This window comes from Homo sapiens, chromosome 1, assembly GCF_000001405.40.
Source record: "Homo sapiens chromosome 1, GRCh38.p14 Primary Assembly".
Taxonomy (NCBI): domain Eukaryota; kingdom Metazoa; phylum Chordata; class Mammalia; order Primates; family Hominidae; genus Homo; species Homo sapiens.
In genome coordinates, this window is record NC_000001.11 from 51,961,520 (window position 1) to 51,984,991 (window position 23,472).

Below are 23,472 nucleotides of genomic sequence, written 5' to 3' on the forward strand. Positions count from 1 at the left end.
TCCAGGCTTGGTAAGATTTGGTCAAGTCCCTTAACTTCTCTGAGTCTCAGTTTCCTCATCTGTTCTGGGCACCATCACTGTGATAATTATAAGGGAAAAACTGCAAGTAAAGCACCTGTAAAGTATGTAATTGCTGCCCAAAAATTGTAATTATTAACAATTTCACCATTTACAGAGTGCTTTACCTATGTGAAGATATAACAAGGGGTTCAAAACTCCATACATGGGTTTTGAAGACAGTCAGACCTTTATTTTTATTTTTATTTTTTTTGAGACAGTCTCGCTCTGTCACCCAGGCTGGAGTGAAGTGGGGCGATCTCGGCTCACTGCAACCTCCGCCTCCTGAACTTAAGTGATTCTCCTGCCTCAGCCTCCCAAGTGGCTGGGACTACAGGTGTCAGCCACCAAGCCCCGCTAAATTTTTGTATTTTTAGTAGAGACAGGGTTTCACCATGTTGGCAAGGCCGGTCTCAAACACCTGACCTCAAATGATCCACTTGCCTTGGCCTCCCAAAGTGCTGGGATTACAGGCATGAACCACTGCACCCAGACTGAAGCCAGATAGACCCTGATTCAAATCTGGACTCTGCCACTTACTATTTGTGTGAACTTGAGACAGCCATCTAACTCCTCTGGACCTCAGTTTACTTCTCTGTAAAATGGGGATAATAACAGCACCTAGTTCACAGGGTTAGTGTCAGGATGAAATCAGTTCATAAAAGCACTGAGCACAGTGCTGGCATGAAAGCCCGTGCCACTGTCAGCTCACATCAGCTTTGTGGGAGATAGTATTAGTCCCATTTACAGGTGAAGGTCTAAATGAAAGCTGCTGTTCATTGCCACAATTATTGATGTGTGAAGTCAAGAGGGATGCCAGGCATTCAGAATAAGAATGGCACTTTTGCCAGACTCTGGGCCTCTAAATGCAGGGATCAAAAGGAAGCAGGGATCCTCCCACACACGCCACACAACCACTGTCTGTCCTGGGACCACCTGTCTGCTTTATAATTTGTTTTGTATTCTCTTTATCCCTCTGTTCATGTCAATTATGGCAAGAAGCCCATGTCTCCAAAGCCATCCCTGATCACTGGACTCCAATTGCCATATAGCTCAGTACATCATCATCTTTTCTAACACTGTCTCCTCCCCTCCCCACTGAAACCTTTCTCTGAGTCTTCTGAAATTCAGTCAGTCATCAGAAAAATCTATTTTTGCTCAGCCTCTCATCCGAACGTTTCTTTTACCTCCTTGCTGTAATCAAAGCCCGGCTCTCCCTGAGGACATGGCTTCTCCTAAAGCCTCTAAATTGTTGCTCACTTCCTCTCTCATCACCCTTGAATCAGCGGGCTGGAGGTGGGATAGATGTTGTTGCTTCTCACCCCTGCTTTCATATCACTCTCTTTCCCTCCTTCAAAAAAACAAAACAAAACACCTCCAGCTTTCAATATCATGAGATTATACCACCCACTTATCCCTCTACTGGCCAGTGAACAGCTTCTGCTTCACTGTTACTCTCTCCATAATTCTTGGTGATTTCAATATCCACATAGATGAGGCTTCCATCACCTTGGACTCTCATTTCCTTGAATGCTTCTCCTCCAGTGATATTGATCTCTGACCCCACCTCAGTAACTCACTCTCACAGTCATATCCTGGACCTTATCATTACCAATAGTAATTTCAAGCCTCTCATACTCAGACCACTATGCTCTTTCCAGCTCACTCCTTGTAGATTCCCAGCATCAACAGTCTTCTTTCCCTACCACCTTTTCACTGTCCTTCATCCCTTGTGTTGTTACCTCCCTCTTGGCCCAACTTGAATTCTAAGGTCAATCATGACAACAGCCTCCCTTCACATGCCCCTGACTCCCCAGGCCCTCTTGCTTTGTTATACTCAGCAAAACCACACTTTACTTAAAGTCAACTCTTTGCCTATTCTATGCCTTTATCCTCAGAGCAAAACATGGCTGGAGAAAAACACACAACCATGCTTCAAATTCATGAGCTGATGAATTTAAATTTATGATCACTAATTTCAAATGAAGTCTTAATGCTAATCAGCAATCAAATTACATTTCCACAGTCTATTCACTCTCCCACCTTCCTAAATGACATTCTCCTCTCTCTTCGACTCTCCAAACTTCCTCCCTCATCTTCACTCTCCACTGATGACCTTGCTTCATCAGAAAATTGTACTTAAGAGAACTCGAACCAGCACATGGAACCCCAAGCTGCACCTGTGCCCAAACCCTCTGCTTTCTCCCCTGGGAATGTAGGTGCACAGTCTGTGCTCCTACCAAGGACTCACCCTCTGCATGTAATCCTATCCCCTCTCCCCAGTTCAAGGATATTGTCCCAGCAGTTCTCCTTTGTTTCCAAATCATCAGCTTTGTATTTTTGTTTCTTTGTTGGCTTGCTTTGTTGATCTCTATTCAATTGTTCTACCACCATACGAACGTGCTGCTACTTCTCAAATCTTAAAAAAACAAAAACCTCTTCTGATTCACTTCCCCATTCACCTTCAGCTACCACCCCAATTGTCTCCTTTTCTTTAGAGCAAACATCCTTCAAAGTGCTGTGTCATACTTGGTGTCTCCAATTTCTCTTCTGCCATTTTTACCAGGCTTTCACCCCTCCTACTCCACCAAAACAACTTGTATCAAGGTTATCAATGTACTCTATGTTGCTAAATACAGCAGTCAATCCTCAGTTCCCATATTCATAACCTAGCAGCCATATTTGACACAGTTGATCTCTCCTTCCTCTGAAAAACTATCTTCACTTGGCTGCCAGGACACCACACATTCTCATTTCAGTTGCTCTTTTTCAGTCTCCTTTCCCGATTCTCCCTCATCTTCCCAACACCTTGGTGTTGGAATGTCTCCGGGCTCAGTCTGTGAACCTTTTCTTCTTCCTGCCTTCACTCTTTCCCTTGTTAATCTTATTTGGTCTCATCATTTAAAATACTACTTGCTAACATATACATGCAGACTCATTTATCCAACTGCTTATTCCATATCTCTACTTGGTTATCTAACGGGTATCTCCAACTTAGCATAACCAAACTGAATCCCCAACTCTCTCTCTCTAAACCCTGTTCTTCCTGCAGTCTTCCCCATCTCAGTTAGAGGAATCTCCAAACTTCTAGTCGCTCAGCCCAAACCCTCAGCAACATCCTTGACTTCTCTCCTTCTTTCTCTCTCCACATCTAATTCAATATTCAGTATTTTCAACATACATGCAAAATCTGACTACTCTCACTACTACCGCTACTACCTCCCTAGTTCAAGCCACCATCATTCCCAGCCTCAATTGTTACAAATCCTAACTGGTTCTCCCTGCTTCTGCACTTTGCTCTTCATAATTTATTCTTGAAACAGGCATAACTCTGCCTCAGAGAAATCCTGTTAAGTGTTAAGATGTAAGTCACCTGGCCAGGCGCAGTAGCTCACGCCTGTAATCCCAACACTTTGGGAGGCCAAGGCTGGTGGATTACTTAAGACCAGGAGTTCAAGACCAGCCTGGCCAACATGGTCTCTACTAAAAATACAAAAATTAGCATGGTGGCACACACTTGTAATCCCAGCCACTCAGGTGGCTGAGGAACGAGAATTACTTGAACCTGGGAGGCAGAGGTTGCAGTGAGCCGAGATTGCGCCACTGCACTTCCAACCTGGGTGACAGAGTGAAATTCTGTCTCAAAAAAAAAAAAAGAAACGAAAAAAAGAAAGAAAGAAAGATGTAAGTCACTAAAATGTTAAAATGTTCTGGAATTAGTGATGATAGTTGCATAAGTCTGTAAATATACTAAAAATCACTGAACTATACTGTTTAAAAGGGTGAATTTTGGCTGGCCCGGTGGCTTACGCCTGTAATCCAAGCACTTTAGGAGGCTGAGGTGGGTGGATCACGAGGTCAGGAGTTCGAGACCAGCCTGGCCAACATGGCAAAACCCCGTCTCTACTAAAAGTACAAAAATTAGCCGGGTGCGGTGGGGGGCACGTGTAATCCCAGCTACTCGGGAGGCTGAGGCAGGAGAATCGCTTGAACCCGGGAAGCGGAGGTTGCAGTGAGCCGAGAATGTACCACTGCACTCCAGCCTGGGCAACAGAGCAAGGCTCCATCTCAAAAAAAAAAAAAAGGTGAATTTTATGGTATATAAGGTATATGTCAATTGAAAAAATATTATTAAATGCAATACGGTATCTTGGATTGGATCCTGCAATGGTAATAGAATATTTGTGGAAAAAAAACTAGTGAAATTCAAATAAAGACGGTAGTTTAATCGTATTGTACCAATGTCAATTTCTTAGTTTTGACAAATGTATCATGGTTATATAAAATGTTAACATTAGGGCAACTGGGCAAAGGACACATGGGAACTCTACACTATCACTGCAACTTTTCTATAAACCTAAAATTACCCAAAGATTTAAAAATTTATTAAAACAATGTAAGACAGAGCATGTCATTCCACTGCTCAATGTCTGCAATGCATTTCAATGTGTGCGTGCCTGGTGTATATCCCCCTTCTCCTCTGCTTCACTGAGTGCCCCTAAGAGGCAGGGATGTTGTCTCACCAATCGCTGCAGAGCCTAGCACAGCTAGGCACACAAAGGGTCCTTGAAAGCAATTATGCTCTTGCAAATGTCATTTCTTCCACCTGTAAAGCTCTTACTCTACATTAACCTGAAAAAAATCAGACTCATTTGTCAAGACCCTGCTCAAATGTCCCCTCCTTTGTGAGACCTGCAATGATTTTCCCAGGTGGAGGTAGCTGTTCTTACAACACTTTCTTCATCCCTTTATTACATCGCTTTTATCACATTGTAGCTGTTTCTTTGCCCTCTCATGACAGTGCCTCGCATATAATATGTACATGACACATGTTTATTGAATGGATTAATGAATACACAAATGGCTTGTAGATTATTTCTTTTTCTCCCATGCCAGTTTGGATGGAAGGAAAGGGGGTTGTGGCCCTAAATAGTGTGTCTTGGAGACCCCTTCAATAGTCAATCAGGATGGCTTGTTAATTCATTTGAAAATTACAGAGGCCAACTAAGCCTGATTTGACTCCCCATGGTCTTTGTTGTGATTTTTAAAATCAGATTAAACTTACTTCCTCAGCAGCTGGTTCCTACAGGCTTTGGGGAGATAAAAGTGTCAGCATGTTTCTGCAGCCACACCAGGAAACTTGCTGCCTAGAAAAATCAATTCTGATTATCATAAGAGCTGAGCACAGGATGGTGTACTCAGGAACTGTCTTCACATTCCTGGAGCCACAGAGACTTGTCAGAGCCCCAGTTTCCCTGTTCAGCCTCCAGACTCTTCTGTGCTGCCCGCTGATCTCTCCACAGGTCTCCAGCTTACACTCAAGACGAGATTGCACCTTCCTGAAGGTGGCAGGAAGAGCACTGGAATGGGTCAAGGGACATCACCATGAGCCCTCAGTAAAGTCCCTATCTCACTCTGAGCCTCAGCCTCCTCCTGTCTAAAATGAAAGACTGAGGCTGGGCACAGTGGCTCACGCCCGTAATCCCAGCACTTTGGGAGGCCGAGGCAGGAGGATCAACTGAGGTCAGGAGTTTGAAACCAGCCTGGCCAACGTGGTGAAAACCTGTCTCTACTAAAAATAGAAAAATCAGCCAGGCATGGTGGTACATGCCTGTAATCCCAGCTATTCGGGAGGCTGAGGCAGGAGAATCGCTTGAACCCAGGAAGTGGAGGTTGCAGTGAGCCAAGATTATGCCATGGCACTCCAGCCTGGGCAACAAAAGCAAAACTCCACCTCAAAAAATAAATTAATTAATTAAATTAAATAAAATGAGAGACTGAGATGTGATGTGCTCTAAATTCACAGGCTTGTTGACACCTAACAAGGTAACAGGAAATCTTAATCAGCAGTGTGAACTTAAAACATGGACATTACCTGCTTCAGAGTCTTAAAGGATGAGGGAATTTATATCAGGTATTTTCCTTTTTCTTTTCTTTTCTTTTTCTTTTTTTTTTTTTTTTTTGAGATAGGATCTTGCTCTGTCACCCAGGCTGGAGTGCAGTGGTGTGGTTATAGCTCAAGGCAGCCTTGACCTCCCAGGCTCAAGTGATCCTCTGGCCTCAGCCTCATGAGTAGCTGGGACTACAGGCACATGCCACCACACACACAGCTTATTTTTAAATTTTTTGTAGAGACAAGGTCTCAGTATGTTGCTGGTCTCACTCCTGAGCTCAAGTGATCCTCCTGCCTTGGCCTCCCAAAGTGCTAGGATTATAGGCATGAGCCACCACGCCCAACCAGGTCTTTTATATGTTACTAACAGATGCTGTAGTAGTCAGAATAATAGTCTCCCAAATATATAATCCCTAAAATCTGTGAATATGTTACCTTACATGGCAAAAGGGATTTTTGCAAATGGGATTAAATTAAGGATCTTGAAAATGCAGGATTGACCTGGAATGCCTAGGTGGGCCCATTATAATCACAAGTGTTTTTATAAGAGACAAGGAGGAGGTTCAGAGAGGTTGGAAGATGTTCCACTGCAGCTTTGAAGATGGATGGAAGAAGGGGCCCCAAGCAAAGGGATGTAGGCAGCCTCTGGAAGCTGGAAAAGGCAAATTAAAGATGCCCCCCAGATGAGGCCCTCCAGAGAGAACACAGACTGAAACCAGCCAACAAATTGATTTTAACCCAGTGAGACCCACCTTAGACTTCCGACCTCCAGAACTGTGAGATAGTAAGTTTGTGTTGTCTTAAGCCACTAAGTTTGTAGTAATTTTAGTGCAGCAACAGGAAACTAATAGAGAAGCCTATTAGACAGCTACCCAATCTCATATAATAATCCATGACTGTACATTCTTAAATTCTAGGGAAAAGTCTCTTGATATCCTATTCTTCTTCCCCTAATCAGAACAAGAGAGCTATGGTATTCATTTATTGGGCTCATAATTTCAGTCTCATTAATTCCTGGAGAGCAGGGAATGTCACATTTATATTAATATCTCTATCCCCAGAATCTGGCACAGTAAATATTTGTTAAATGGCTGCTGAAGAGCCACAATCCTCCTTCTTCCAAGTTTCTGGTATGATTACCTTTCCCACATTCCTACACTCCCTTACATTTCAGCTATTCTTATATTACTGGCCCTAAGATACAGATCCTTGACATTCCCAGATTTAATACTCACTAGCTTTAATATTTATAAATGACTCCAAAGCCATGTTGTGACCTAACATTTCATGGAGGCTGCTGTGTGGACATAAGGCAGATGACTGATAAGCGAACCTTGCTGACTGCCCAGCACCCCATCTCACCTTGACCTTGTTCTCAGTTCCTGTTTATATGAGGAGTTACTCACATCACTGTGGAATTCAGATTCCCAGGAAATCTCTTAAGACTCCTCTTGTTTGTCCCATTGTTTGTCATTCTGTCTAACCCTCCTTTGGAACCCATGGTCACTCTTATCTATGTCTTTAATTATAGTAAGAGCTATTGGGCAGGAGCAGTGGCTCACACCTGTAATCCCAGCACTTTTGAAAGGCCTAGGCAGGCAGATCACTTGAGCTCAGGAGTTTGAGACCAGCCTGGGGAACATGACAAAACCCTGTCTCTACAAAAAATACAAAACTTAGCCAGGCATGGTGTGGCACACACCTATAGTCCCAGCTACTGGTGAGGCTAAGGTGGGAGGATTGCTTAAGCCCAGGAGGTCGAGGCTGCAGTAAACCATGAGCATACCACTGCACTCCAGCCTCGGACACCCTGTCTCAACATTAAATACATGAATAAAATGATAATTTAAAAAAGAGCTGTTGGAGGAGGGACCCTCCTTTCTCTGTCTATGAGGAAGGCTGTCCATGGAGACAGAGGCTTCTCCTACAGACCTGAGTGGAATGCTTTAGGCCTTAAATATTAGTAAATCTGGGCCACATGGACTTTGACTTTGAGTGAATGGTGTACGGGCTAATTATAGCCAGCGGCCCACGTTGGCCTATGACTGGGTTTGTGTGTCTTTCTGACTCCAGAGTAAAGTATGAGCAAGCTGCACTTGCCGGAAGACTTTAGCCATGGCTTCATCCTCGCTTTAATGAGTAATAAGGCTTTTTTTTTTCCATTACGCCCCATCTCTCTGACTCCTGCATCTATTTCTCAATGGGTTTAGGTGGGGAAGAAAAGGAATGCTATTTATCAATCTCCCTAGAACCTTAATAAAAACTACGATTTGTTGAGTGTTTACTCTGTGCCATGCACTATGTTAGTGCTTTATGCACATTATCTATGTATGTCTTTAGTTACACTAAGAGCTTTTAAATCATCACCAACACAGCAATAGATCCAACTAGAGGCCACTTACTGCTGGGTGCTGGTTGCACTCAGTCTCTACAAGAAATACAAAATTTATTCAGGCATGGCATAGCCAGGCACACCTGTAGTTCCAGCTACTAGGGAGGCTGAGGTGGGAGGATCACCTGAAGCCAGGAGGCAGAGGTTCCAGTGACCTGAGATCGCACCACTGTACTCCAGCCTGGGAAACAGAGTTAGACCCTATCTCAAAAAAAAAAAACCCAAAAAACAAAAAACAAACAAACAAACAAACAAAAAAACAAAAACTAGAATCCAGGACCCAGAGTCCTAGGTGAGCTCAATCCTCTGGATTGTTCTCTTGATCAGCACCAGACAGCCTCTGCAATGGGCCCCACATAGAGGTGGTGGAAGCCCCCTCCACTCTTCTATTCCCACAAGGTCTCCAGGGGTTGCTTGGCAACCAGCACCCAGCAATAAGTGGCCTCTAGTTGGATCCGTTGCTGTGGAGTTACCAAGTCTCCTCTCACACCTGTGCATGCTCTCGCTCCCTAATAATGAGGCTTCTCTCCTATCCCTACCTCCCCAGTAAGACTTTCTTCTCTGATCCACAATCATTAACTTCTCAGGAAACAAAGGGAGCTCTCAGGGACCTTTGTGGTGAGGGGCTCCAGGCAATAAGGCACTCCCAAGACCCTCATCCCCCAGAGATGACAGAAATTCCTATTGTGGGTGGCCCTGCTCAGCAATGCTCATAACCTCCTCTTCTTGTGTCTGGAATCCCCTAAGAGAGATCAAATAGGCTGGAGGAATTTAACTGAACACTTCATACTGTGCTAGTGAGTCACTAAATGCTGTTCCTACACTGGAACCACAGATGGAAAACTTCAGAAAGCAACCCAGTGGCTGGGCACGGTGGCTCACACCTATAATCCCAGCACTTTGGGAGGCCGAGGCGGGCAGATCATGAGGTCAGGAGAACAAGACCACCCTGGCTAACACGGTGAAACCCCGTCTCTACTAAAAATACAAAAAAAAAAAATTAGCTGGGCTTGGTGGCTGGGACCTGTAGCCCCAGCTACTCGGGAGACTGAGGCAGGAGAATGGCGTGAACCCAGGAGGCAGAACTTCCAGTCAGCTGAGATCGTGCCACTGCACTCCAGCCTGGGTGACAGAGCGAGACTCCGTCTCAAAAAAAAAAAAAAAAAAAAAAAGAAAGAAAGCAACCCAGTGACCCCTTCCATGTGGACCCAAAGGTAGAGAAAGGAAGGAACCCAATATTTATTGCATTCCCCAGACACAGTATTATGTTATCACATTTAGGCCCCCTCACCACCAGCAAACCTATGAGGCTTTAATAGTTGAAGACATTAACTAGTCATAAAAATGAAGTGATTTATCAAAGCTCACAAAACCAAAAAAAAAAAAATCACAAAACTTTTGTGTACAGAAGTGATATGTATAAACACACATAAATGTTCCCCCTTTCCCTTTACAATGAAAGCAGTCTCCCCCTATCCTTGGGGGATAAGTTCCAAGACCCTCAGTGGATGCCTGAAACCTCAAATAGTACCTAATCCTATACAGTATACACTATGCTTTTTCTTTTTTCTTTTCTTTTTTTTTTTTTTGAGATGGAGTCTCGCTCTGTCGCCTAGGCTGGAGTGCAATGGCGCAATCTTGGCTCACTGAAACCTCTGCCTCCCAGGTTCAAGCAATTCTACTGCATCACCCTCCTGAGTATCTGGGATTACAGGAGCCTGCCACCACGCCCAGCTAATTTTTTGTATTTTTAGTAAAGGTGGGGTTTCACTATGTTGGCCAGGCTAGTCTCGAACTCCTGACCTCATGATCCTCCCACCTCAGCCTCCCAAAGTGCCGGATTACAGGCGTGGGCCACTGCACCCAGACCACACTATGTTTTTTCAATTTCATAACCACGATGGCTACTGAGTGGCTAATGGGCAGATAGCAAATACAGCACGGATATGCTGGATAAAGGGATCATTCACGCCCTGGGCAGGACAGAGCAAGACAGTGCAATATTTCATCATGCTACTCAAAACAGTGTGCAATTTAGGCCAGGCACGGTGGGTCACGCCTGTAATCCCAGAGCTTCGGGAGGCCGAGGTAGGTGGATCACTTGAGGTCAGAAGTTCAAGACAAGCCTGGCCAACATGGTGAAACCCCATCTCTACTAAAAATACAAAAATTAGCCAGGCGTGGTGGTGTACGCCTGTAATCTCAGCTGCTCCAGAAGCAGAAGAATTGCTTGAACCCGGGAGGTGGAGGTTGCAGTGAGCTGAGCTCATGCCATTGCACTCCAGCCTGGGCAACCGAGCGAGACTCTATCTCAAAGAAAAAAAAGCAGTGTGCAATTTAAAATTTATTAGCTTATTTCTAGAATTTTCTGTTTAGTATGTTCAGATCTAGAGGGCCCCAGGTAACTGAAATCTTGGAAAGTGAAACCAAGGATAAGAGGGGACAGCAATTGATCATCAAATTCTGTAAATTCTAGTTCCAAATCTCTCTCTTCATTTCCATCCCTTATGTCATTTTGTCACTCTTAGCGTTATGGACTGAATGTCTATGTCCTCCCAAAATGTGTATGTTGAAGCCCTAGATAGTACCTAATCCTATACAGTATACACTATGCTTTTTTCTTTTTTCTTTTTTTTTTTTTTTTTGAGTTGGAGTGTTGCTCATCCCTCAGTGTGCTTGTATTTGGAGATGAGGCCTCAAAGGAAGTAATCGAAGTTAAATGATGTCATAAGAGTGAGTTCCTGATCCAACAGAATTCATATCATTATAAGAAGAGACACCAAAGAGTTTGCACTATCTCTCCCCCATGCCCATGCACCAAGGAAAGGCCACAAGAACACAGAGTGGGAAGGCAGCCCGAGGGGAGAGCTCTCATCAGACATCAACCCTACTGGCACCTTGATCTTAGACTTCCAGTCTCCAGACTGTGAGAAAATTAATTTCAATTGTATTTTGTTATGGCAGCCAGAGCAGAATAATACACTTAGTTCAGCCCCATATAATTTACCCAAGTCCTTGCTTGCTTGCTTGCTTCCTTTCTTTTATAGCTGGTCACTACTATATTTGTTTATTAATTTTTAGATAGCCTTTATGAGGTATAATTGATACACAAAAAAATTCACTTATTTAATGTATACAATTTGATGAGTTTGGATCCAAAACCCTGGTTTCTTTGCCTCATTTCCATCCACCCTTCAAACTGAAGCCAGGAATTTTTCTAAAATGCAAATCTAACTTGTTTAAACCCTTCTATGGCTCCCCAGTGCCTATGGTGGTGGTCTCCAACTTACATCCCTTTAAGTAAGAAAAATGTAGGTACAGCACACACAGTATATGTGTATTCTTTAGATTATATATCTATATGTCTACTTCTATACACAAGATATTAAAATATATAAAATTAAAATAAACAATATTTAAATGTTTAAAATCTAATGTATTCATGAATAGTCCAGAAAACTTTATTTTTGCTGCATAAAAGCACATACACACACATAAAAACCCTTTGCTAATTTTCCTTCAGCAAAAGCAATGAGATTGACCATGTCATCTATGGCTATACCACCCTGAACGCGCCCGATCTCATCTGATCTCGGAAGCTAAGAGGGGTTGGGCCTGGTTAGTACTTGGATGGGAGATTGACTATGTCGTATCTAATTAGATTATCATTGATTTTACCTCGAAACGTGGCTGACAATGAACTTGTGTTGGGAGTTGGAAAAACACCAGTTCAGCCATTTTCTTTATGCTCACTTGGATTCACTATAATCTTCTAGCATAGTCTTCAATCAGAGGTTTCTTTATAGGACTCTTTAAAAGCCACATATCCATTATGAGGTTTCATTTAGTTAAAACTAGACCATGTAATCAATAAATCCACTTACCCAGGCACAAGAAAACCACAAAAGCTCACAATTGGCTGAACATAAACAAAGAAGTGAGTCAGTCCACTGTCAACCCCTCAGAAGGGCACAATGCCTCCTCCTATCTCAAGATTTTTTGAGTGTAGGCTATCTGACCATCTGATATGGGGGTCAAACAAAGACACTTCTGTCAATCCACATAGTAAATATCAGTAAAAAATATCTTATGTTCAAAGATTAAAAGTAAGCTCTAATAATTTCTTCAGTTCCCTAAGGAATCATCAAGCATGAATCCTCTGACCGATGACAAGAACTTTCTGTTTGCTGTGGAAGATCTCTTTGACCCCCAATCTGCCACCTATAGCCTCTCCAGCAAATTTCTCTCAGCACCCACTCTCTGCTCTTTCACAACCTTGATCCAGTTTTACTGTATTGCTCACCATGCCCCAAATATTCTGTGCTCTCACATCCCCCTGTGCATGGAACTGTAAGGATGATATCAAATAACACAAGTGAAAGCACCTGGCACCTAATAGGTGCTTTTAGTAAATGCATGTTGACTTTCACCTCAAGCTAGTTAAACTAAGTGGTTCTACAATGTTAGCCAGCCACAAAACCACCTGGAAAATTTGTTATAGCACAGATGGTTGTCACTCACCCACCAGAGTTTCTGACTCAATAGTTCTGAGGTGGGCCTGAAAATTTGCATTTCTAACAAATTCCAAGGTGATGCTGATGCCATGGGTCTGGGAATCAGTGAACTAGACGACCCGTATAGCTTCTTCTATTTCTAATGATCTCTGACTCCTCAATGCCTTTAATAGAGAGCAAATGAACAAAATGAACTTTTATCCCTATATAATATTTGACATTATCATGAAGGGAAATATGAACTCTATAATACCTCAGATGCACAGTGTAGAGAAAAGAGCACATACTTTTGAATCAGAAGATCTTGTTGAAATCCCACTTTATAGCAGTGTTGTTGACCTAAGGCAAGTTAACTAATCTCTGAGTTTCTTATCCTGCAAAACAGGAGTGTATTAAAGTAGTACCTACTTCATAGTGTTAATTGTGAGATAGTATATGGGAAATAATTTGTAAAAAGAAAAGTACTACATACAGACTGCCCCAATAAGATATATGCATAATGTATTAATGTACATTTAACACGCAGAATAGAAAGATAATAAATAACATACGTTTTGGCTGGGCGTGGTGGCTCACGCCTGTAATCCCAGCACTTTGGGAAACCAACACGGGTGGATCACCTGAGGTCAGGAGTTCAAGATCAGCCTGGTGAACATGGTGAAAACCCATCTTTACTAAAAATACAAAAATTAGCCAGGCGTGGTGGCACACGCCTATAATTGAAGCTACTTGGGGGGCTGAAGCAACAGAATCGATTGAACCCAAGAGGTGGAAATTGCAGTGAGCCAAGATAGTGCCACTGCACTCCAGCTCAGGTGACAGAGTGAGACTCTGTCTCGAAAAAAATAAAATAAAATAATAATAATACATGTTTTAAATACTTTAAATCACAAATTTTCAAAATTTCCAATCCAGGTACTAATTCATTTTTGAAAACTATATGATCTACATGTTGCTATATCATCTAAAATATGTGCATAATTTATTAGTACTATTGGCAGATACTAATAATAATAGTAGCTGTGGCAGCCAGCTTCCAAGATGGTCCCCAGTGATACTTTCCTCCCAATATCCACACTTTTGTGTAGTTTCCTCCCATGCTGAATCAGTGACCAACAGAACGCTGTAAGGCTAAGGCTAACTCATAAGAGACATTGCCACTTCCTCTGGCCTTTTACATCTCTCACTCTGGGAAAAGCCAGCTGCTATGCAAATAAAGACACTTCAGCAGCTCTGTGAAGACACTCTAAGAGGCCAAATGGGAACGAAGTAAGGCCTTCTGCCAACAGCTAGCACCAGACATGTGAGTGTGCAGTCTTAAGATCCTCCAGCCCCAGGCTAAGCGCGGTGGCTCACACCTGTAATCCCAGCACTTTGGGAGGCCGAGGTGGGCGGATCACAAGGTCAGGAGTTCGAGACCAGCCTGGCCAACATGGTGAAACACCATCTCTACTAAAAATACAAAAATTAACTGGGCATGGTGGCGGGCACCTGTAGTCCCAGCTACTCGGGAGGCTGAGGCAGGAGAATCGCTTGAACCCGGGAGGCGGAAGTTGCAGTGAGCTGAGATCATGTCACTGCACTCCAACCTGGGCAACAGGACAAGACTCCGTCTTAAAAAAAAAAAAAAGATCCTCCAGCTCCAGTGTATGTTTCAGATGACTGCAAGCCAAGCCAACATCTGGCTACACCTCATGAGAGGCCCCAACCACTCCCAAATGTTTGATCCACAGAAACTATGAGATAATGAATTATTATTGTTGTTTGACACTACCAATTTATTTATTTATTTATTTATTTATTTATTTGAGATGGAGTCTCGCTCCGTTGCACAGGCTGGAGTGCAGTGGCATGATCATGGCTCACTGCAGCCTCGACCTCCTGGGCTCAAGCAATCCTTCCACCTCAGCCTCCCAAGTAATGGGGACTACAGGAGCCCACCACCATGCCCAGCTAATTTGTTTTATTTTTTTGAGAGATGAGGTCTCACAATGTTGCCCAGTCTGGCACTATGAACTTATGAAGTGATTTGTTATACGACAGTAGATAACTGATACCTTAGCTAACATTTAGTGTGCATTTACTATGTTCCAGGAACTAAGCCAAGGACCTAAGGACCCAACAGCCTTATGATGTAGATGCTATTACAATCCCCAAAGGAGAAAGGGTGCCCCAGAGAAGTTAAGCAATTCAGTCAAGTTCCATGACTAGTAAGTGGTAGAAGCAGAATTTGAACCCAAGTCTCTAACTCCAAGCCCCAGTTTCTTGGTCACTCATTTAGACAAGCCAACATAAAACCTCCTGGATAGTTAAACAGCAGAAGCAACTGAACCCCTGGAGGAGAGCAAACTTGTATAAAACTAGCAGAGGGTAGCCCAGGGGCCACACCTGAAACAGCATTAATGCCTGATGCTGTAAGGCCCAGAAGTTCCAAGCTGGCCCCACCTCTAAGCCCTTGTACTGGCAGGCCAGCCGCTTCTCAGGAAAATCCTGCCCAAGATTCCCGGGACTCACCCAGATCTGCAGTTTCACCCGCTTCTCGTGACGGTAGACTGTCTTCACCTTGAAGTCGATGCCCACGGTGCTAACGAAGGCTGGGGTGAACGTGTCATCAGCATAGCGGAAGAGGAAGGAGGTCTTGCCAACACTGCTGTTGCCAATGATAAGCAGTTTAAACATGTAGTCAAAATTCTGGTCAGAGGCATCTTTGACTCCAGTTTTACCATCTGTCACTGAAGCCATCTGCAAGAGAGACCTAGAGTCACTCAGGAACAGACCTTCGGTGTCACCCTGAGTCACCATCCTTCTAATGGTCACCCCACCATTCACACACTCACTCCTTACTCCAGCACCACTGAGGAAATGCACACTACTCAGAATCACCCCATCACTACACCTGCCCCAAATGTTGTCTCAGCACTGAGGTGGAACCCAGCTCCTCCCATTCATTCCTTCAGCAAATATTTACTGAGCACATTGATCTGGGGCAAGCCCTGTGCTGGGCATGGGGCTTACAAACATGAGTCAGACATGGTGCCTGACCTCTAGGTGGACAAAAACTAGAATAAAAGGTGGGTCAACACAGAGTAACAAAGCAGTAGATAAGTGATAAGACAGAGGAGTCCTGGCTGAGGAAGTCCATGAGAAGCATCTCATTCAGCCTGGAGGCCCGGTGATCAAGGAGAGGCTCCTGGAGGAAGCAGCTCCTGAGCTATTTTGGGGAAAGAAAAAAAAAGCCAAGAACAGCAAACACATGCACATCCAAGGAAAGACTCAGTAAAGGGCTATCATTCTCTTGCTTCAAAAACTATTATGACTCAGGAGGCTGAGGTGGGAGGATCACTTGAGCCCAGGAGTTCGACGCTGCAGGGAGCCATGATCATGCCACTGAATGCCAGCCTGGGTAGCAGAGCAAGACCTCATCTCTAAAAAATAAAATAAATAAAACATAGAAACTTTCATGGCTTTCCACAGCTCTAAAGATCAAGTCCAAACTGTTCAATTTGACAAATAACCAACTAACCAAAGAGGCAATTCTCTAAACTTTATCTTCCCATACCCCTTCTCTTCACCAACCTGTGCTTCCCTTAGATCTAATTACACACTTTATGCCAAATAAGCCACATTATTCCTTGCCTTTGTCCCTTACATGTATTCCTTCTGCCTAGAATTCTCTTTTCCTCCTAAAAGACTCCTACCCATCCTTGGAGATCCAGATCAAGTGCCAGCTTCCCTGTGCTCCCAGAACACTGTAACAGCCCTTGTATCACTTCAGCACTGTTGGAATGAGCATCTGGGCCTTAATGGACTTCATTCCTACATGTCTGGCTTCCAGCATGAATCCTAGCACATAATAAGCACTCAGGAAATGTGTGCTGAATTCATCACAGTCACTTCATCACTCTGGGGCTCAATCTCCTCATCTGGAAAATGGGGAGAACAATTTCCACCCTGCTCTTCTCACAGGGCTATCACAGGACTCAAATGAGATAACAATGGATGAAACCATTATCAACTGGTAAATTCCACACAGATGTGAACATATGTCCTTATTATTCCAAAGCCTTCAAAGCCTAGGTCCTTTATTTGTTCACTCATTCACTCAGCAAATATTTAATACATGCCAGGCCTTTCCTGAGACCCCAGCCTTCTCAGTTCTGTCACCATCTGCTTTCCTAGAACACCCGAATCTGAACTCCATAATTCAGCACTTGGTCACATGGTCTTATTTAAGTCTTTAATTGCTTCTCCTATGTCTTGGAAGCCTCAGGTACCCTGCTTCTCCACCTGAAATCTCCCCTTCTTCTCAGCACAAGGGTACCCAGATGGCTGGATGAGTGGTCAGAGGAGGGTGGGAGGACAGCATTCAAGTGTGATGGTGTCTGGGTTTTCATTCTTTTTAGGAATTCCTGTTTTTTTCCCCAAGGGCAAAGAAAGGGCATGAGGCTGGTGGGTGTGGCTCTTTGGGCCTCTCAGATGAGCTGTAAGGATAAGGAGCTGATTAATGTAGGTTTAAAGCTCTCTTGAAGAAAAGTTAGACAAATATGTAAGATTGTTAGCAGCCTTTTAATAAAAGTTCCTTGCATATGTCACCACTGGACTCCTGTGGTCTCTGTTCTTCCTTCCCTTTGTTCCCAGCTCTCAATCCTTATCTGAGACTGTAAGTTCCATCCCTGTATCAATCTGCCCCATGACAAGACTCACTAGGCAAGTGTGGAACATGCCCAGGACACTTGGAGACTGAGGCATAGCACTTACATGGAGGAAGAAAGTGAGGTTGGAAGGGAGGGTGCCATTGGCTGCTTAAACTGTCTCACAGCCTTAACTTTTCAGCTTTTCATGGTACTAGGTGCAAAGGCTGTTGCAAGAACTTGCCATGTAAAGGCATTATGCTTTTTTTTTTTTTTTTTCTGAGATGGAGTCTTGCTCTTTTCGCCCAGGCTGGAGTGCAGTGGTGCAGCCTTGGCTCACTGCAACCTCTGCCCCCTGAGTTCAAGCGATTCTCCTGCCTTAGCCTCCCAAGTAGCTGGGATTACAGGCATCTGCCACCATGCCTAGTTAATTTCTGTATTTTTAGTAGAGACGGGGTTTTGCCATGTTGGCCAGGCTGGTCTCGAACTCCTGACCTCAGGTGATCCACCTGCCTCAGCCTCCCAAAGTGCTAGGATTACAGGCGTGAGCCACCACACCTGGCCACATTATGCTTTTTCTACATAAAAACAAGGGAAGCAACCACAACAACCTCACACCATCCTCCGCTCTGCTGCCTGCAAGTCATCTTTCTTTATTCACAAGAGAAAATTTCTACTATGAATATATTCATTATAAAAAATTTGAAAATTATATTATGCAAAAGTGTAAAAAAGAGAATTTAAAATTAACTGACGGCTGGGCACGGTGGCTCACGCCTGTAATCCCAGCACTTTGGGAGGCCGAGGCAGGCAGATCACGAGGTCAGGAGATCGAGACCATCCTGGCTAACACGGTGAAACCCCATCTCTACTAAAAATACAAAAAATTGGCCAGGGGTGGTGGCGGGTGCCTGTAGTCCCAGCTACAGGAGGCTGAGGCAGGAAAATGGCGTGAACCAGGGAGGCGGAGCTTGTAGTGAGCTGAGATCCAGGCCACTGCACTTCAGCCTACGCGACAGAGCGAGACTCCACCCCCCCAAAAAAAAAATTAACTGACATCCCACCCACTCAGAAACTATGGCTGTTAACATTTTACTGTATTTCCTCCAATATTTTTTCATACAAAAGAGTGCCACCTAAGGCCAGGTGCAGTGGCTCACACCTGTAATCCCAGAACTTTGGGAGGCCAAAGTGGGAGGATGGCTTCAGGCCAGGAGTTCAAGACCAGCCTGGGCAACATAGGGAGACCCCATTTCTACAAAAAGTAAAAAATTAGCCAGCCGTGGTGGCACACATCTATAATCCCAGCTGCTTGGGAGGCTGAAGCAGGAGTATTATTTGAGCCCAGAAATTTGAAGCTGCAGTAAACCATGATTGTGCCACTGCACTCCAGCTTGGGCAACAGAGCAAGACTGTCTCTACCAAAAAAAAAAAAAAACCTCCTCTCTCCAGTCCATGCCTCCAAGATGACAAAGAAAAGAAGGAACAATGGTCATGCCAAAAAGGCCTGCAGCCACTTGCAGCCTATTCACTGGATGAACTGTGCCCAATGTGTGCCCAAGGACAAGGCCATTAAGAAATTCGTCATTTGAAACATAGTGGAGGCCACAGCAGTCAGGGACATTTCTGAAGTGAGCATCTTCGATGCCTATGTGCTTCCCAAGCAGTATGTGAAGCTACATTACTATGCGAGTTGTGCAATTCACAGCAAAGTAGTCAGGAATCGATCTCATGAAGCCCGCAAGGACCAAACACCCCCACCCTGATTTAGACCTGTAGGTGCTGCCCCACGACCCCCACCAAAGCCCATGTAAGGAGCTGAGTCCTTAAAGACTGAAGATGGACTATTTCCTGGAGAAAAATAAAATGGAAATTGTACTTTAAAAAAAAGCCATCTATTTTAATACTATGTTTTATTTGTTAATTTAAAAGGTAATACATACTTACGGAAAATAATTCAAGCATATCCTATTTGCAAGTATTACCTTTTTTACCAGCTGTAGCTCAATTATTATTATTTTTATTTTATTTTATTTTATTTTGAGACAGGGTCTCTCTCTGTCGCCCAGGCTGGAGTGCAATGGCACTATCTTGGCTCACTACAGTCTTGATCTCCTGGGCTCAAGCAATCCTCTTACCTCAGCCTCCCGAGTAGCTGGGACTACAGGCATGTGCCACCATGCTCAGCTAATTTTTGTACTTTTTGTAGAGATGGGGTTTCACCATGCTGTCCAGGCTGGTCTTAAACCGGGATCAAGTGATCTGCCCTCCGTGGCCTCCCAAAGTGCTAGAATTACAGGCGAGAGCCACCACACCCAGCTGCATTATTTTCTTAATTCCTAGCATAAAATACAAGTAATATGAAACCTAAAGGTTTACACTGAAAAGTAAGTCTTGCTTCCATCTCTGATTCCTGATCCAGTTCCCCTCCCCAGAGGCATACATGTTATCAATTTATATATCCTTCAGAGATAGCCCTTGCATATATAAGCAAAGAGACCTATTTATACTTTTTATTTCTATATAAATAACATACCATGCATTCTAGTCTATACCTTCTATGCATATTGTAATAGCTGACATCATATGTACAAGGTATAGGCTAGAATATATGGTATGTTATCATTTAGCAAATCACTTAAATTTTAAAAGTACAATCATGAACTGCATAACAACATTTCAGTCAATGACAGACCACATGTACAATGGCGGTCCCATAAGATTATAATGGAGCTGAAAAATTCCTATTGCCTAGTGACATAGTAGCCATGGTAACATTGTAGCACAACACATTACTCACATATTTGTGTTGATGCTGGTGTAAACAAACCTACTGCATTGCCAGTTGTATAAAAGTATAGCACATATGATTATGTGCTATACATAATACTTGATATTGATAATAAATGACTATGTTACTGGCTTCTGTATTTACTTACTACACTTTTTATTGTTATTTTAGAGTGTACTTTTTCTATTTATATTTAATATTTTTTAAAAAGTTAACAGTAAAACAGCCTCAGGCAGGTCCTTCAGGAGGTATTCCAGAAGAAGATATTGCCATAAGAGATGACAGCTCCATGCCTATTATTGCCCCTGAAGACCTTCCAGTGGGACAAGACATGGAAATGGAAGGCAGTGATATTGATGCTCCTGGACCCTGTGTAGGCCTAAGCTCAGGTGTGTGTATTTGTGTCTTCCTTTTTAACAAAATAATTTTAAACATAAATTTAAAAACTAAGGAAGAAAAGAAAGAAAAGGCCAGGTTCAGTGGCTCATACCTATAATCCCAACACTTTGGGAGGCCAAGGTGGGAGGATCGCTCAAGCCAAGGAGTTTGAGGCTGCAGTGACCCATGATTGCACCACTGCATTCCAATCCAGGTGACACACTGAGCCTTCATCTCAAAAAAGGCCATACGGTGTATTTGTGCTTTAAGTTAAGTGTTGTTATAAAAGAGTCTATGGCTGGGCATGGTGGCTCAGACCTGTAACCCCAGACTTTGGGAGGCCGAGGCAGGCAGATCACTTAAGGTCAGGAGTTCAAGACCAGCCTAGCCAACATGGTGAAACCTCATCTCTACTAAAAATACAAAAATTAGCCAGGCGTGGTGGTGCGCACCTGTAATCCCAGCTACTCAGGAGGCTGAGGCACAAGAATTGCTTGAACTCGGGAGGTGGAGGTTGCAGTGAGCAGAGATCCACTGCACTCCAGCCTGGGTGACAGAGCAAGACTCAATCTCAAAAAAATAATAATAATAATAATAAATAAAAAATAAAAGAGTCTAAGAAGTTTTAAAAATTTTTTAAGTTTATAAGGTTTAAAAGTTATAGTAAGCCAAAGTTAATTTATTATTGGAGAAACATATTTTTAAATAAATTTAGTGTAGCCTAAGTGTAGAGTGTTTATAAAGTCTCCTATAGTGTATGGTAATGTCCTAGGCCTTCACATTCACTCACCACTCACTCACTGACTCCCCCAGAGCAACTGCCGGCCCTGCAAGCTCCATTCATGGTTAAGTGTCTTATATAGGTGTACCATTTTTTATCTCTTATACCATATTATGCCTGGGTGCAGTGGCTCACACCTGTAATCCCAGCACTTTGGGAGGCCAAGGTGGGTGGATCACTTGAGGTCAGGAGATAGAGACCAGCCTGGCCAACATGATGAAACTCCATCCCTATTAAAATACAAAAAATTAGCCAGGCATGGTGGCAGATACCTGTAATCCCAGCTACTCGGGAGGCTGAGGTTGCAGTGAGCTGAGATTGCACCACTGCATTCCAGCTTGGGTGATAGAGCCAGACTTGGTCTCAAAAAAAAAAACCATCATATTTTTACTGTACCTTTTCTATGTTTAGATGTGTTTAGCTACACAAATACTTACCACTGTGTTACAATTGCCTGCTACATTCAATACAGTAACATGCTGTACAGGTTTGCAGCCTAGGAGCAATAGGCTATCTATTCCATATAGACTATGTGTATAGTAAGCTATACCATATACCATATAGGTTTGTGTAAGTATACTCTATGATGTTCATACAACTATGAAATCGGCTAATGACACATCCCTCAGAACATATCCTTGTCATTAGCAATGCAAGACTGTACTTAAATACTACAAAAATTTAGTAGTACCAAAAGTACTACAAAAATATGAGATTTTGAGGCCAGGTGCCGTGGCTCAGGCCCATAATCCCAGGACTTTGTGAGGCCGAGGCAGGCGGATCATTTGAGCTCAGGAGTTTAAGATCAGCCTGGCCAACATGGTGAAATCCAGTCTCTACTAAAAATATAAAAATTAGCCAGGTGTGGTGGCGCACACCTGTAATTCCAGCTAGTCAGGAGGCTGAAGCACAAAAATTGCTTGAACCCAGGAGGCGGAGGCTGCAGTGAGTCAAGATTGCACAACTACACTCCAGTCTGGGTGACAGAGCAAGACACTGTCTCAAAAAAAAAGAAAAGAAAGTAAGGGCTGGGCGCGGTGGCTCATGCCTGTAATCCCAGCACTTTGGGAGGCTGAGGCGGGTGAATCACGAGGTCAGGAGTTCGAGACCAGTCTGGCCAACATGGTGAAACCCCATCTCTACTAAAAATACAAAAAATTCGCTGGGCGTGGTGGTGGCTGCCTGTAATCCCAGCTACTCTGGAGGCTGAGGCAGGAGAATCACTTGAACCTGGCAGGCGGAGGTTACAGTGAGCGGAGATTGTGCCACTGCACTCCAGCCCAGGCAACAGTGGAGACTCTCTAATTAAAAAAAAAAAAAAAAAAAAAAAAAAAAAAAAAAGCATGAACGAGACTTTGAAAACTCTAAAAAAACATCATTTCAGTTGACTACATTATATTCCATCCTATAGATGTGTCATAAGACCAATTCTTTTTTTTTTTTTTTTTTTTTGAGACAGAGTCTTGCTCTGTCACCCTGGCTGGAGTGCAATGGCACAATCTTGGCTCACTGCAACCTCCAACTCCTGGGTTCAAGCGATTCTCCTGCCTCAGCCTCCCAAGTAGCTGGGACTACAGGTGCTCACCATCACACCGGCTAATTTTTGTATTTTTAATAGAGATGGGGTTTCACCATGTTGGCCCAGCCAGATCAATTATTTAATGTTGTCACTCTCTTTAGGAAGTTGTTTTTAAGTTGTTTTTCTACTCTTAATTATTATACATGAAACTGCAGTGAACATTTCTTTACATAAATTTTTGTACATTTTCCTAATTACTTCCTTGAGAGAGATTCCTTGAAGTGGAATTGCTGGTCAAAGAGTCACTACTAAAACATAAATGTGATCTTTACCACAATTTCATATCCTTTATCTTCTTTTATCTCTAAATAAACCTGGGAAATAAAGCTGGAAAGACGTGGATTATTATTTCCATTTGATCAAGAAGGAAACTGAAAATGAGAAATTAAAAGGATTTGCCCAAATCTCATAGCTAACAGCCGAGACTAGACTTAGTACCCTGCAGTGTTATGAAAA

At 43.3% G+C, this 23,472-nt stretch overlaps 1 protein-coding gene and 2 pseudogenes across 2 annotated transcripts in view; 2 read left to right on the forward strand and 1 right to left on the reverse strand.

Moving 5' to 3' along the window:
- The window catches only part of RAB3B (RAB3B, member RAS oncogene family), an 82,745-nt gene that overhangs the window by 53,564 nt on the left and 5,709 nt on the right, over window positions 1-23,472 (reverse strand). Inside the window, exons 1-2 of one of the 2 annotated variants that reach the window (XM_017001958.2) lie at window positions 15,694-15,722; window positions 15,371-15,598 (exon numbers count right to left, since the gene is read on the reverse strand). In XM_017001958.2, the coding sequence (XP_016857447.1) occupies window positions 15,371-15,598 (228 nt within the window). In that variant the 5' untranslated portion in view covers window positions 15,694-15,722. Of the gene's footprint in view, window positions 1-15,370; window positions 15,599-15,693; window positions 15,723-23,472 lie in introns of those variants that run through there. The other variant, NM_002867.4, reaches the window with a different exon arrangement.
- Window positions 11,891-12,016, forward strand: RNA5SP48 (RNA, 5S ribosomal pseudogene 48; annotated as a pseudogene).
- On the forward strand, window positions 18,927-19,368 carry RPS26P14 (ribosomal protein S26 pseudogene 14; annotated as a pseudogene).